This window comes from Homo sapiens, chromosome 17 (assembly GCF_000001405.40).
Source record: "Homo sapiens chromosome 17, GRCh38.p14 Primary Assembly".
NCBI lineage: Eukaryota > Metazoa > Chordata > Mammalia > Primates > Hominidae > Homo > Homo sapiens.
Window position 1 is genome coordinate 1221292 of NC_000017.11, and position 15013 is coordinate 1236304.

General features: G+C 53.6%; 1 protein-coding gene across 2 annotated transcripts in view, besides 8 other annotated features; it reads right to left on the reverse strand.

Moving 5' to 3' along the window:
- The window catches only part of ABR (ABR activator of RhoGEF and GTPase), a 226204-nt gene extending 217773 nt beyond the window's left edge, over positions 1-8431 (reverse strand). Inside the window, exons 1-2 of one of the 2 annotated variants that reach the window (NM_001322842.2) lie at positions 7502-8431; positions 4600-7007 (exon numbers count right to left, since the gene is read on the reverse strand). In NM_001322842.2, the coding sequence (NP_001309771.1) occupies positions 6856-7007; positions 7502-8339 (990 nt within the window). In that variant the 5' untranslated portion in view covers positions 8340-8431 and the 3' untranslated portion in view covers positions 4600-6855. Of the gene's footprint in view, positions 1-4599; positions 7008-7501 lie in introns of those variants that run through there. The other variant, NM_001322841.2, reaches the window with a different exon arrangement.
- Positions 6937-7146: an enhancer, noted in NCBI's record as "active region_11447". NCBI's record gives its function as "activates an Ori minimal core promoter by ATAC-STARR-seq in GM12878 lymphoblastoid cells {active_cell/tissue: GM12878}" and the evidence as "EXISTENCE:reporter gene assay evidence [ECO:0000049][PMID:35858748]".
- Positions 7257-7526: a silencer, noted in NCBI's record as "silent region_7946". NCBI's record gives its function as "represses an Ori minimal core promoter by ATAC-STARR-seq in GM12878 lymphoblastoid cells {active_cell/tissue: GM12878}" and the evidence as "EXISTENCE:reporter gene assay evidence [ECO:0000049][PMID:35858748]".
- Positions 7257-8006: a biological region, named in NCBI's record as "H3K27ac-H3K4me1 hESC enhancer GRCh37_chr17:1131887-1132591".
- Positions 7302-8006: an enhancer, noted in NCBI's record as "H3K27ac-H3K4me1 hESC enhancer chr17:1131887-1132591 (GRCh37/hg19 assembly coordinates)". NCBI's record gives its function as "activates a minimal SCP1, AML or CMV promoter by ChIP-STARR-seq in naive H9 embryonic stem cells {active_cell/tissue: H9 hESC(naive)}" and the evidence as "EXISTENCE:reporter gene assay evidence [ECO:0000049][PMID:30033119]".
- Positions 7617-7676: a silencer, noted in NCBI's record as "silent region_7947". NCBI's record gives its function as "represses an Ori minimal core promoter by ATAC-STARR-seq in GM12878 lymphoblastoid cells {active_cell/tissue: GM12878}" and the evidence as "EXISTENCE:reporter gene assay evidence [ECO:0000049][PMID:35858748]".
- Positions 8167-8296: a silencer, noted in NCBI's record as "silent region_7948". NCBI's record gives its function as "represses an Ori minimal core promoter by ATAC-STARR-seq in GM12878 lymphoblastoid cells {active_cell/tissue: GM12878}" and the evidence as "EXISTENCE:reporter gene assay evidence [ECO:0000049][PMID:35858748]".
- Positions 8317-8796: a silencer, noted in NCBI's record as "silent region_7949". NCBI's record gives its function as "represses an Ori minimal core promoter by ATAC-STARR-seq in GM12878 lymphoblastoid cells {active_cell/tissue: GM12878}" and the evidence as "EXISTENCE:reporter gene assay evidence [ECO:0000049][PMID:35858748]".
- Positions 9077-9136: an enhancer, noted in NCBI's record as "active region_11448". NCBI's record gives its function as "activates an Ori minimal core promoter by ATAC-STARR-seq in GM12878 lymphoblastoid cells {active_cell/tissue: GM12878}" and the evidence as "EXISTENCE:reporter gene assay evidence [ECO:0000049][PMID:35858748]".

The window sequence follows — 15013 nt, forward strand, 5'->3', positions numbered from 1 at the left end:
AAAGTGCCTTAAAAGGCAGACAAACAGCCACCACTCACTCTTACGCTCCTCTTCCCATTCTTCTAATTCCTGCCTGAAATGTGAATGTGATGGCTGGATCTCCAGCAGCTATTTCGGACCAGGAGGTGAGCTTGAGGACAGAGAAGCAGAAAGACTGAAAAGCCTCCATTCCTGATGATCATGGAGTCACCATACTCTCGGCCGGACTGCTGGCCGCTGGAATTCTGTTACATGTGAGATAAATAAGCCTCTATCTTGTTTAAGCTACTTTTTTTCAGTTTTGTCATATACAGCAAACCCCTATCGACCAATCCCAGGTTCCACGGAAAATCAGCCCTTAAAGGAGGGGTTGGTTTGGGGGCTGGTTTGGGGAAGTCAAGGCGGGAGGGCTCTTCAAACGCCAGAAAGGGCACGGGAAAAGACGCCGGATGGAATGAGCAATGGCAGAAAGGATCTGCGTAGAAAACAGAATATAAGAAGCCAGATGGTGGCTTTGCAGACGCCAAGAGAGACAGGGCTTGACGGGGAAGCATCAGGGACCCCAGGGGACCTGGAAAGGTTGTCTTCCTCTGAAGATGCAAAACACCTCTGGAGTAGGGACAGCGGTAAGTAAAAAAGGAGAGAAAGGCAAACAAATAAGCTTGGGAAACTTTATTACCTGGAGAGATTCAAATATAAGCAGTAGCCTGGTTTAGCCAACTGAAAATTCCTGGACTTATAACAGCAACAATAAAGACACCATCGAGGAAGAGTAACGATAACAGCACCATGGAGGATCCCATCTTTTTTTCTGAGACGGAGTTTCACCCTGTCACCAAGCTGGAGTGCAGAGTCGTGATCTCGGCTCACTGCAACCTCTGCCTCCCGGGTTCAAGCAATTCTCCTGCCTCAGCCTCCCAAGTAGCTGGGATTACAGGTATGTGCCACTCTGCCCGGATAATTTTTGTATTTTTAGTAGAGACGGGGTTTCACCATGTTGGCCAGGCTGGTCTCGAACTCCTGACCTCAAGTGATCCACCCACCTCGGCCTCCCAAAGTGCTGGGATTACAGGCGTACGTGAGCCACCGCGCCCGGCCTCAAATGGCTTCTTAATATCTCTTCACAATAGGGATGGGAAAAAATTACTCTATCACAGCTGAGGCTGAAAATTCAATCCTTCAAATTAAGTTACTCAGACATCCACTGAACACAAGGAATTCTTCCTAGAGCAACAATCTCATTAGTCACTGATGGGAAGGGCAGAAAACCCATCAGGTTACAGATGAATCAGGTTCAGGTAACATGACTACTTAGTAGGAAATTCATTTCCCATAAAGATTAAAAATAAAAAGTCTCAGGGCCAAGTGTGGTGGCTCATATCTGTAATCTCAGCACTTGTGGAGGCCAAGGAGCGAGGATCACTTGAGCCCGGGAGTTCTAGACGAGCCTGGGGAACATAGTGAGACCCCGTCTCTACAAAAAATTAAAAATTAGCCGGCTCGTGGCATGTGCCTATAGTTCCAGCTACATGGGAGGCTGAGGTGGGAGGATCGCTTGAGCCTAGGAGGTGGAGGCTGCAGTGAGCTGTGTTCATGCCACTGCACTCCAGCTTGGGCAACAGAGTAAGACCCTGTCTTAAAATAAAATAGGCCAGGGACAGTGGCTTACACCTGTAATCCCAGCACTTTGGGAGTCCGAGTCAGGCAGATCACCTGAGGTCACGAGTTCAAGACCAGCCTGGACAACATGGCGAAACCCCGTCTCTACTAAAAATACAAAAAGTAACCGGGTGTGGTGGCGGGCACCTGTAATCCCAGCTACTCGGGGGGCTGAGGCTGGAGAATTGCTTGAACTCAGGAGGCGGAGGTTGCAGTGAGCCGAGATCTTGCCATTACACACCAGCCGGGGTGACAAGAGCCATACTCCATCTCAAAAAAATAAATAATATAAAAATTAGCCGGGCTTGGTGGCGGGCACCAGTAATCTCAGCTACTCAGAAGACTCCATCTCAAACAAACAAAAAATCAGTAACAACACACACACACACACACACACAGAGACACGAATACCCTCCATCGTCACTCTACGCCAGGTGTTCTGCTACACTCTTTAATTATTCTCTTGCATTTAATCTTCGTAACTATCCTGAGAGGGAAGTACTAATATTTGAGGCGGTACAGCTTGGTGTGCGAAAGCATGGACCTGGAAGCCAGACTGCCTGGCTTCAAATCCTAAGGGCTACTTATAAGCTGGGTGACCATGGGCAATGTTATTGAAGTTCTCCAGGCCTCGTGATTCTCATGGAAAATGGAAATAATAACAGCACCTGTATTTGTCCGTGTTCACACTGCTGTAAAGAACTACCCGAGACTGGGTAATTTATAAAGGAAAGAGGTTTAATTGACTCACAGTTCCCCAAGGCTGGGGAGGCCTCAGGAAACTTACAATCACCGCGGAAGGCAAAGGAAAAGCAACCACCTTCTTCACAAGGCGGCAGGAGAGCAAGCAAGCCTGCGGGGGAAACTTCCAAACGCTTTAAAACCACCAGATCTCATGAGAACTCCCCTCGTGATCAGGACAACAGCCCGGGGGAAACCGCCCCATGATCCAGTCGCCTCCCACCAGGTCCCTCCCTCGACACGTGGGGATGACAATTCGAGATGAGATTTGGGTGGGGATACAGAGCCAAACCCTATCAGTGCCTGTCTCCCGAAGGTGCTCTGTGGAATCCATGAATTAAAGCATACGAAGTGCTCAGAACAGGAGCTGGCAAAAGTAAGCCCTTAGGGTTAGCGACGTTTATTATTCCCATCTGTCAGAGACGGAGGCTTGGAAGGGTCAGTGGCTGGCCGGTGGTCTCACACCTGGGGAGAGGCAGGCCTGACTTCACAGCACGCACCACCCAACACAGCTGATCCTGGCTCTGCCCGTCCCCTCACTCCTCACCACACCAACACGGCCTGGTCTTTGTCTTTCCTGGTACCAAGCAAGGCTACAAGGTACTAGAAGGAAGATACTAAGCGAATTGGCAGACTAACTTATTTACACTCTGATGTTGCTATCGTGCGCGGACAAAAAAGCCGAAATGTGTTTTGGCTTAGGAATCTGCCCCTCATCTAAAAGGAAATGGAGGCCCTTTTCACCTCTGCTTCTGGGCCTCTGTAGGTGAGGCCTCACGTGTTCTCTCTCTGAAACCCTGAGACTAAGGCAAAGCCTGGATTGCCCAATAAAACCTGACCTTAAGGACCTCTGAATGCAGATAATGAGTGTGATTGCTGGTGGAGGCCAATCCAGCAAAAAGAGACTCATGAGCCAAGATGACCTCTGCCTTGAGTCCTGCCCTGCTGCCTGAAAGGTTCTAGAAAGAGTCAGAGCCTTGCTGGGAGGGGGAAACACGTATCTTATTCATTCATATTTTTTAGAGACAGGGACTCGCTCTGTCACCCAGGCTGGAGTGCAGTGGCACAATCATAGCTCACTGAAGCCTCGACCTCCTGGGTTCAAGTGATCCTCCCACTTCAGCCTCCTGAGTAGCTGGGACTATAGGTTCACACCACCACAACTGACTGATTCTTTTTTTCTTAGAAATGGGGTCTCACCGGGTGCGGTGGCTCACGCCTGTAATCCCAGCACTTTGGGAGGCTGAGATGGGCGGATCACAAAGTCAGGAGATCGAGATCATCCTGGCTAACACGGTGAAACCCTGTCTCTACTAAAAATACAAAAAATTAGACAGGCGTGGTGGCGGGCACCTGTAGTCCCAGCTACTCAGGAGGCTGAGGCAGGAGAATGGTGTGAACCCAGGAGGCAGAGCTTGCAGGGAGCCCAGATGGCACCACTGCACTCCAGCCTGGGCAACACCGTGAGACTCCATCTCAAAAAAAAAAAAAAAGAAAAGAAAAGAAAGAAAGAAATGGGGTCTCACTGTATCGCCCAGGCTGGTCTCAAATTCCCAGCCTCAAGCAGTCCTCCCACCTCAGCCTCCCAAAGTGCTAGAATTACAGGTGTGAGCCATTGTACCAGCCACATGCACCACGGAAAACCAAACCATCTGCGATCCAGAATGACTGGGGAGTGGGAAGCTCTGAGGAAGCAACTCAGCTGGGCACAGTGGCTCAGGCCTGTAATCCTAGCACTTTGGGAGGCCGAGACAGGCGGATCACCTGAGGTCAGGAGTTCAAGACCAGCCCGGCCAATATGGTGAAACCCCATCTCATCTAAAATACAAAAATTAGCCAGGCGTAGTGGCACACTCTTGTCATCCCAGCTACTCAGGAGGCTGAGGCAGGAGAATCACTTGAACCCAGGAGGCAGGGGTTGCAGTGACCCGAGATGACGCCACTGCACTCCAGTCTAGGTGACAGAGCGGGACTCTGTCTCGACAAAAAAGAAAAAGAAAGAAGAAGCAACTCAAAGAAAAATGACCTGTAGTAGTGGTTAATTAACACTTATGGGTGCTTCCTACGTGCCAGGACCCGTCCAAAACGCTTTAGAAATATGACCCATTTATTTCTCATATCAACAGCAGGAGAGAAGAGGTGCTTATTAGCCTCAGTTTACAGATGAGGGGACTCAGGCTCAGAAAAGTCAAATAACTTCTCCCAATGTCACACAGGCAGTCTAGCTTCAGAAACATGGTTTAATTCCGTGTTTTCAAACCTTTTTGTTCATCTCACAGCAAGAAATACATTCTACATCAGCTCCCAGTGTACACATACGCGTCCGCATAGAACCGAAACGGAGTCCAAAAACAGAATAATACTCGCCGTGTCCAATGCACTCATCTTGAGAGAGAAAAACCCCTGCCTGCCTGGAGCTTGCGTTTGACTGGAGGGAGACAGTGAATAAGACCCACATGCAAAATTGCAGCATCCACGGTGGTAATTTGGGGAATGCTGTAGAGAAAAATGAAGCAACAAAGGACAAGGGTGGCCAAGGAAGACCGCCCGGGTGCTTCTGTTGCCAACTGCACTAATTTCAATGAGCTGTTTCCCACAGTGCGAAAACGCCTTCCCTTAATCGCTCCACTCTAATGCCTCCCTGTATGCTTGAGGGCTCTTTCTCCTAGATTGTGTGTGCACACATGTATGTGGCAGTGTGCACATGTATGTACATGTGCAGGTGTCTGTGTATGCATGTATGTGGCAGTGTGCCATGTATATACGTGTGCAGGTGTGTATGTGTGTGCATGCATGTATGTGGCACTGTGCCATGTGTATACGTGTAGGTGTGCATGTGTGTGCATGCATGTATGTGACAGTGTGCCATGTACATACGTGTGCAGGTGTGCAGGTATGTGTGTGCATGCATTTATGTGGCACTGTGCACATGTACATATGCAGGTGTGTGTGCATGTATGTACATGTGAAGGTGTGAATGTGTGCATGTATGTATGTGACAGTATGCCATGTGTTTACATGTGCAGGTGTGTGTGTGTGCATGCATGTATGTGGCAGTGTGTCACGTATATACATGTGCTGCTGTGCGTGTGTGTGCATGCATGTGACAGTGTACCATGTGTATACGTGTGCAGGTGTGTGTGTATATGTGTGCATGCATGTATGTGGCAGTGTACCATGTATATACATGTGCTGCTATGCATTTATGTGTGCATGCATGTAACCAAGTGCAAGTCCACCCCCCACTCACTTCCTCACGAGGAGGCTTTGGAGACAGAGGCAGAACCCGAACATGTAGCTGTGCAGTGTGCCACAGGAGCTTGCCCTGCAGAGGGGGCTGGAATGGCACCTGAAATCTAGCCCAGGCATCACTAGCCAAAGCCGTGAGTGCCAGACACGTGCCCCAGCTCACGTCTGTAGTCCTGAGGAAGGTGACTCTTGTTATCATTGGTCCACCCAGAGGGGAGCATCTTTTGCAATTCCCAGGGGCAGCGCCGATTTCTAACGTGCATCAAGGTGCCCTATGTGCTAGAGTGTCCTAAGGGAGACAGGCGACGACTCACAGAAATAAAAATCACTCCCTGGGAAAAGCCTAGTGTACTGGGCACCCCGGGGAGGGTGACAGATGTGGGTCTGGGGGGAGACAGGATTGCAGCCAGCTCTGAAGCAGCTGGGGCCAGTTGGGTAGCCTCCACCAAGGGCATTTGGAACTTGGCACTAGGGTGAAATCTTCAGGCTCTTCCCTTAAGTTAAAGAGACATATAAAAATGTTACCAGCATGGGCGGCAAGAGCATTGCCTGTGGGAAACACAGCCAATCTTTGCTAAGGAATAAGTGTAATTGATCAAAACAGATGACTTGATGGACCTTCCAACTGTGCTTTTAGCAAAGTGGACAGTTTTTCATTCAAATGCAAACTCATCCAGATAAAATCTAATAATGGAGATTTTGGAACAATCCCAGCATCAATGATTTTTTTTCCTCCTTCACTGAGCAGGAAGGCATCTTAAATTCCTGGTTGCAGCTTGACCCAACCGGACACCACCAGTGTGCTGCTTTCCGCGTGGCTGAGGAGACCGTGACAGTTCACAGACACAGCAAAGGGCTCCCACGCCACCCCCATCCCCACCTGACCTCTCCTCCTTAGCCCCATTCCCACTCCCTGACCTAGAAAGAGCTCGGTGGACGCTCAATTCCAGGCAATCATTTATTCAGCCATTATGCGTTGAGCTTTGACTGCTGCAAAGCACCGTGCATACTACCAGAAGGGGGTTCAAAGATGACTAAGATCAGGCCCTGTCCTCAGAAAAGAGAGCAGATGCGAGGGGAGAGAGATGACAGGAGACCCGGTGAAGGTCTCAGCTCACCCCAACGAGCACTTAATCTTTCTGAGCTTCGGTTTCCTCTTTTATCCAGTGAAGACGCTGGACTAGACATGGTCTCTGGGCACCAGGCCAGCCGGAAAACGAGATGGGCCTAAGCCTCCCCTTGCCCTCTTGCTCCCAGACTCCTAGAAAGCCAAGAGGCCGGGCGCCGCCTTCTAAGAAGAAAACGAGTCCGCAGAGGGGGCTGGTGAGGGCCGTGGCCCTTCCCTGAAGTTTGCACGTGGCCCCAACACACAGAGCAGCCTGGAGAAGAGGAGACTAAGTTCAGAAAATGGAGTGGAAGGTTCGGCCTTCCGCGGTTAGGAAAGCGGAGCTCAGAAGGATCGGGGATTTCCGGGAGATGGGAAGCCCCTGGGGTGTGTGCAGAGAGGGGTGACAGACAGAAGGGTGACAGCACCCGGTGGCGCCAAGGGATCTGGCGGGGGCCAGGCCGGAGGGAGGGGCTGGGGGATGTCAGGGCCACGGAGCGCAAAGCGCAAAGGCCCGGGCGCCGGCCCTGCCGCCGCCGCCAGTTCATTTTCATAGAGTCGCCCGAGCTTAACGTCGCCTTGCACGTGTTTTCTAAGCTCCACAGGTGGCTTTGGGGTACACGGGCGCAGCTCACCCTCCTTCCCGCCCGCTCCCCGGCCCCGAGCTCGAGGTTAAACAGGGCCGCGGAGTCGGCCGGGAAGGGGTCCCGGCAGCCCGGGGTGGGGGGCGCGCGGCGGGGTCGAGCGGGGTCTGGGGGGGGCGCCCACCTGCGGAGAAGTCGTCCTCGCGGTCGGAGCTGTGCCGGCTGCCGTCGCTGTCTCTCTCCGGCGAGCTGTGGCCGGGCGAGTCCCGCTCGGGCACCCGCAGGAACCTGCGGCGCCGCCACGGGGGCAGGTGCTCGCGCCCGGGGGTCTCCTCCGCGGCGAGGGGCGAGCCCGGGCGGCCCTTGGCCTCGGCCTCCCGCTGCTCCAGGTCGCGGGTCCCCCGCTGCGGCCGCCGCCCCCCGGGGATCAGGTGCATCCAGCGGCGGGGGCTGCGCGCCCGCTCGCGGGTCCCGAACCGGCAAGGGGCCACCAGCCAGTGGCTGAGGATGAACTTCTCGTTGAAATCCACCATCTCGAAGTCGTGGTCGCCGCCGTCGCCCCCCTCGTCCGTGCCGGGAGCCGCCTGGGGGTCCCCGAGGGGCGCGTCGTCCTCCCGGGCCCGGAACCGCAGCTGGGGCTGCAGGAGCTGCCGGTGGACGGCGTCGGCCCAGCTCCTTCCCCCGCCGGCTTCTCCGGCCGCCCCGGGCCCGGCGGGCAGGTCCCCGCGGGGAGACTCGGCCTCGGGGTCGGGGCGCCCGGGGTCCCCGCGGGGAGACTCGGCCTCGGGGTCGGGGCGCCCGGGCTCCCCGGAGTCTCCGCCGCCGCCCCGGGCCAGCGCGGCCTGCGGGAGCGAGGCTTTGAGCTGCTCCTCCGCCAGCACCTGTTGCAGCCGCTCCAGGTTGAGTCTGCGGCGCTCCAGCTCCCGCTCCGCGTCCCGCACCGACTCCAGCCTCGGGACCGGCGCCTCCGCCCCGGGGAACTCGGCCCGCCAGCGCCGCTCGAACGCGCGGGGGTCCCACATGCCCCGAGCTCCGTCCGCGCCGACCCTTCCCCGCGGCCCCCGAAGAGACCAGAGGGAAAGTCAAGTGTCCCCTTCCGCCCTCGCGCCTCCTCCCCGTCTTCTTCCTCTTTTCTTCCCCTCCTGGGTTTCGCCTCCCTGACGTCGGCGGCTCCTCGCGGCGGGGGCGGGCGCCCCGGGGATGAGAACCCGCCCCGGGCATCCCACAGCCAGCTCGGGCCGCGGAGCCGCCGGGGGAGGGCGGGAGCTGCGGGGCCTGGACTCGAGCCTTCGCCGCCCGCCCCGATCCCGGCCCCGGACCCCGCCCGCCCCGCTCCCCTGTCGGCCCCGCTCCCTGCACCCGAGCGCGGGGCCCCGGACACCCTCCTGCCGGGCCGGGGGAAGACGTGGGGGCTGAGGGCGGCGTGGCTGGTGCCACTGCGGACCCGCGGGGTCGCCCTGCGCCGGGATTGATGGATTGATTGATTGATGATTGATTGATTGATTGACTGATTGATTGATTTTCCTTTTTTGAGGCCAGGTCTCGCTCTGTCGCCCAGGCTGGGGCACAGTGGCGCGATCGTGCCTTAAACTCACGTGACGAAGATCACGGAGCAGTTTAGTCCAAATCCGGGGGTAACGCTTCGGGGTTCTGTCGGCCCCTGTAAGCTTCTCTCCTCTTCTCACTGAAGCTCTTCCGGGAAAAACACCCAAGGATGACTGAGCCAAGCGGCTCTAGCTGGAGGCGCCCGGGACCTCAAAGCTGGACTCCCCGGGGACTGAGTCCAACCGTGGCTGCAGGGGCCGCGGCCTGGCGGAGGGTCCGCGTGGGTGTCTACGAGGATCCCCCCCGTTCCATCTCCTCTTTGCGGCCTCAGACACTTCCCCTGGGGAGGACGAGAAATGGGAGCTGGGCCGGGCGCGGTGGCCCACGCCTGTAATCCCAGCACTTTGGGAGGCCGAGGTGGGCGGGTCACCTGAGGTCCGGAGTTCGAGACCAGCCTGACCAACATGGAGAAACCGCGTCTGTACTAAAAATACAAAATTAGCCGGGCGTGGTGGCACATGGCTGTAATCCCAGCTACTCGGGAGGCTGAGGCAGGAGAATCGCTTGAACCCGGGAGGCGGAGGTTGCGGTGAGCCGAGATTGCGCCATTGCACTCCAGCCTAGACAACAAGAGCGAAACTCCATCTCAAAAAAAAAGAAAGAAAGAAACGGGAGCTGGAGAGGGGGCCTGGAGACGGGGGTCCCACGTGGCCCTGCCCTCCGCACCTGGCTGAGCAAGGCTTTCCAGTTCTTTTCCAGGGTTGTGGATGAGGCTCCACTGCCTGCGAAGAGAGGCCCTGATAAACCATCTCGTGCTTTCTTAAAGAGGGGACACCTTATCAATGATTCACGTTTCCTTCATTTTAAGCATGAAGAAATTGATCTAAGAGGCCGGGCGCGGTGGCTCACGCCTGTAATCCCAGCACTTTGGGAGGCCGAGGTGGGCGGATCACCTGAGGTCAGGAGTTCGAGACCAGCCTGGCCAACATGGGGAAACCGTGTCTCTACAAAAATACAAAAATTAGCCGGGCGTGGTGGCAGACGCCTGTAATCCCAGCTACTCGGGAGGCTGAGGCAACAGAATTGCTTGAACCTGGGAGGCGGAGGTTGCAGCGAGCCAAGATCACACCACTGCACTCCAGCCTGGGCGACAAGAGTGAGACTCCATCTCAAAAAATAAAAATAAAAAAAAGAAAGAAAACAAAGAAATTGATCTAAGAGGCTGACTTGGCAGCTGGAAATTCTTCCTCCCCACAGCACCTTTTGGGGACTAGAGCTAAACTCAGCCACCTTCTCCATAGCCCCTGCCACCCACCCGGCTCTCACCTGAACCATGGGCACAGGCCGTCCTGGTCCCACTTTTCCAGCCCCTTAATTCATTCCTCAAGGCTACAAGGAAGCAAGGAAGATGTTTCTTAACCACAAATGTGCCATGTGTTTGCGCCCTTTCTTGGCTCCCGTCGCGTACAGGGTGGAGTCCAGACTCCTTGGCCTGACGCAGGAAGTCCTCCCACATCTGGTCTCTGCCCACGTCGCTGCCTTCTTCCTATAATTTAGCCTTGCCAGCTCAAAGCTGGCCCCAAAGACCTCACACCCTTTTCCTTTTCCTTGGAACTTCTCATCTCTCCCTACACGCTTGCAAAAGTCCCCGCTGCCTGGGGACCTCCCCCTCTGATGAACCTTTTCAGCCCCTCCTCGCCCTTGTTTGTATCAGCATTGGATCTCATGCCTGCCTTTTATCTTTGTTTGCCCTTGTTCCACCTTTTTTTGTTTCTTTTCCTGTAGAGAGGCAACGGCTTCTCCATCTCATCTCACTCCCTGAAACGGCAGGGGGCCATGAGCAAATGGAACAAATTTCAAATCCACCATCTCGGCCAGTTGCGGTGGCTCACACCTGTAATCCCAGCACTTTGGGAGGCCGAGGCAGGTGGATGACCTAAGCTCAGGATTTCAAGACCAGCCTGGCCAACATGATGAAATCCCGTCTCTACTAAAAACACAAAAATTAATCGGGTGTGGTGGCGGGTGCCTGTAATCTCAGCTACTCCCAAGGGAGGCTGAGGCAGGAGAATGGCTTGAACCCAAGAGGTGGAGGCTGCAGTGAGCAAAGATCACGCCATTGCGCTCCAGCCTGGGTGACAGAGCGAGACTCTGTCTCAAAAAAAAAAAAAAAATCCCCCAAAAAGACAAAAAAATCCACTATCTCAAAGTCGTGCTCACTGCTGTTGCCCCCATCATCTCATGTTGCCCAGGCTCCTCTTGAACTCCTGGGCTCAAGCAGTCCACCCTCTCTGCCTCCCCAAGTGCTGGGATTACCAGCATGAGCCACTGGGGATTCCACCTGTAGGGTAGCGGTGCAATTACTGCTCACTGCAGCCTGGACCCCCTGGGCGGAAGCCATCCTCCCTCCTCAGCCTGCGGAGTAGCTGGGACTACAGGCATGTGGCATCATGCCTGGCTAATTTTTGTATTTTTCGCAGAGATGGGGGTCTCACTGTTGCCCAGGATGCTCTGGAACTCCTGGGCTCAAGCAATCGGCCTGCCCTGGCCTCCCACTGTGCTGGGATTACGGGCGTGAGGCACTGCATTGGACTCCACTTTATTGTAGTTACCAGTGAGACCTTCTGTTTCCCCTACTCTAAGAACCCCTCAAGTGCAGAGATTGTGTCTTTTTTCATTTTTGTATTCCGACACCTTCTCGCAGAGTGTGGTATAGAGATGACTGATAATTGTTGAAGGAAAGAAATGAACGAACGAACAAACAGACAGATGCATGAACCCCCTCCTTGCCTCCTGCTGGGCTCTCCTGTCCTGAATCACTCCGGACTGGGGCACATTTGCTTCCCACACGTCAACTCCAAGAAAGAATTTCCTTTCTTGCCAAAGTCTGTGTTTACTCATTTTACTAATATCCCTCTTCCTTCTTTGTTTATTCTTTTCCTTTTTTTTTTTTTTTTTGAGACAGAATCTCACTCTGTCGTCCAGGCTGGAGTGCAGTGACGCGATCTCGGCTCACTGCAAGCTCCGCCTCCCAGGTTCACGCCATTCTCCTGTCTCAGCCTCCCAAGTAGCTGGGACTACAGGCGCCCACCACCACGCCCGGCTAAATTTTTTGTATGTTTAGTAGAGACGGGGTTTCACCGTGTTAGCCAGGATGGTCTCGATCTCCTGACCTCGTGATCCGCCCGCCTCGGCCTCCCAAAGTGCTGGGATGACAGGCGTGACCCACCGCGCCCGGCCTCTTTCTTTCTTTCTAACTCGGTGTGCCACTGGCATGAATCATCCCAGTGTTTGTCTTCACGCCAGACTGCTATGGAGAAATGGATATGTTTTTTGTTATTATTATTCTATTTTTTTTTTTTTGAGATAGAGTCTCACTCTGTCACCCAGGCTGGAGTGCAATCCCCATTCACTGCAACCTCCGCCTCCCAGGTTCAAGTGACTCTCCTGCCTCAGCCTCCCGAGTGGCTAGGATTGCAGGCACGTGACACCACACCCAGCTAATTTTTATATTTTTAGTAGAGACGGGGTTTCAACATACTGGCCAGGCTGGTCTGGAATCCCTGACCTCAGGTGATCTGCCCGCCTCGGCCTCCCAGAGTGCTGGGATTACAGGCGTGAGCCACCGTGCTCCACCCACGTGTTTTAAATACACTACTTTGGCCGGGTGCGGTGGCTCATGCCTGTAATCCCAGCACTTTGGAAGGCCGAGGCGGGCAGATCACCTGAGGTCAGGGATTCCAGACCAGCCTGGCCAGTATGTTGAAACCCCGTCTCTACTAAAAATACCAAAAATTAGCCAGGCGTAGTGGCAGACGCCTGTAATCCCAGCTACTCAGGAGGTTGAGACAGGAGAACTGCTTGAACCCAGGAGGCGGAGGTTGCAGTGAGCCGAGATTGTGCCACTGCACTCCGGCCTGGGCAACAAGAGCGAAACTCCGTCTCAAAAATAAATAAATAAATAATAAAAATAAAATGCACTAACTTCCTATTCCCCAGTTTGAGTGATTTCTCGATCTTTCACCTAGCTCCTCAACCTGCTTTCTCTCCCACCTTCACTGCACATCCCAGGGGCCATCACAATCTCCTTTGTCCACTGAGAAGGACTGAGAAGCTTCCAATGCCTATCGCCAGCCCACGCCAGGGAGAGTCCATCAAAGGGAGTCCACGACATCTTGGCCTCTGTATACAGATTTCAGAATGGGAGAGGAAGAGCAGTCCAGAAGTGAGGGATGACCCCAGGCAACAGCATATTGGTTGGAAACTGTTTCAATATGTATATTTAAATGCACCAAGAAAAAGAAAACTACAGGTTACTAATACGCATCCATTTCTGAAAGTGCAAGTTCCCTGGGAGGATAGTTTCAAATCTGTCCTTTAATTAAAGCCGTGGTATGATTCTCTTTTGGCCCAAGGAAATTGTTACCAATACCACTAATTTTTTCCACAAGGACCAGTAGAGCTGGAAATGGCAGCACACATCATCTTCTATAAACAGATCCCAGGAGCAGCCTGCATTGTCCCCAGCTGGTGGATAGCTCAAGCTTTATGACTTGGCTCTGGGTCCTCATGGGGACAGGGGTAGGCTGCTGACATTTATTGAGTCCACACCTCTAGCTGCCATACATTTTTTATCTCTTCTAATTCCTCACAGCAACCCTGTGAAGAAGGTATTATTGTCGCCGCTTCAGACAGACAGAAATGGAAGGTCAAAGAGGTTAGAAGCCACACAGCTAGTCTGCTGAATTTTTTTTTTTTTTTTTTTTTTGTTGTTGTTGTTGAGAGACAGGGTAGGCGGGGCACAGTGGCTCATGCCTGTAATCCCAGCACTTTGGGAGGCCGAGGCAAGTGGATCACCTGAGGTCACAAGTTCGAGACCAGCCTGGCCAACATGGTGAAACCCCGTCTCTACTAAAAATACAAAAATTAGCCGGGTGTGGTGGCGGGTGCCTGTAATCCCAGCTACTTGGGTAAGGTGGGAGGCTGAGGTAGGAGGAGCACTTGAACCCGGGAGGCGGAGGTTGCAGTGAGCAGAGATCGTGCCACCATACTCCAGCCTGGGCGACAGAGTGAGACTCCATCTTGAAAAAAAAAAGAAAAGAAAAAGAGACAGAGTCTCACTCTGTCACCCAGGCTGGAGTGCAGTGATGCTATCATAGCTCACTGCAGCCTCAGCCTCCGGTACTCAAGCCATCCTTCCACCTCAGCCTCCCAAGTGCACGCCACCACACCCAGCTTTTTTTTTTTTTTTTTTTTTTTTTTGTAGAGACAGGGTCTCCTTATGTTCCCCAGCCTGGTCCAGAAATCCTGGGCTCAAGCGATCTTCCTGCCTCAGCCTCCCAAAGTGTTGGGATTACAGGTGTGAGCCACCACGTTCAGCCTGCTAGATTCTGTAGTCCTGCAGCTTTGTAAGAACTTGGTCCAGGTGCATCTGTCACTGGCATTTCTTTAATCAATAAATATTTGTTGAGCACCCACTAGGTCCCAGGGCCTGGCAAATTAAGTTTAAACTTCGTTTTTGGTTTATTTTTTTGAGACAAGGTCTTGCTCTGTCTCCCAGGCTGGAGTGCAGTGGCCGCAATCTCAGCTCACTGTAACCTCCGCCTCCCAGGTTCAGGCGATTCTCCTGCCTCAGCCTCCTGAGTGGCTGGGATTACAGGCATGCACCACCACGGCCAGCTAATTTTTGTATTTTTAGTAGAGACAGGGTTTCACCGTGTTGGTCAGGCTGGTCTCGAACTCCTGACCTTGTGATCCACCCACCTCGGCCTCCCAAAGTGCTGGGATTACAGGTGTGAGCCACCGCACCCCACCAGGCACCCAGTTTTCTAGAATTTTTGTCACTACAGTCTTGCCTTTTCTAGAATTTTTTTTTTTTTTTTTTTTTTTTTTTAGACAGGCTCTCACTCCATCTCCCAGGCCGGAGTGCTGTGGTGCGACCACACGTCATTGCAGCCTCGACCTCCCAGGCTCAAGCAGTCCTCCCTCCTCAGCCTCCCAAGTAGCTGGGAGCACAAGCCACCACATGTGGTGATTTTTATTTATTTTTTTTTTGTAGAGATGAGGTCTCACTATGTTGCCTAGGCTGGTCTCAAACTCCTGGGCTCAAGCCCGTCCTCCCACCTCGGCCTCCCAAAGTGCTGGGATTACA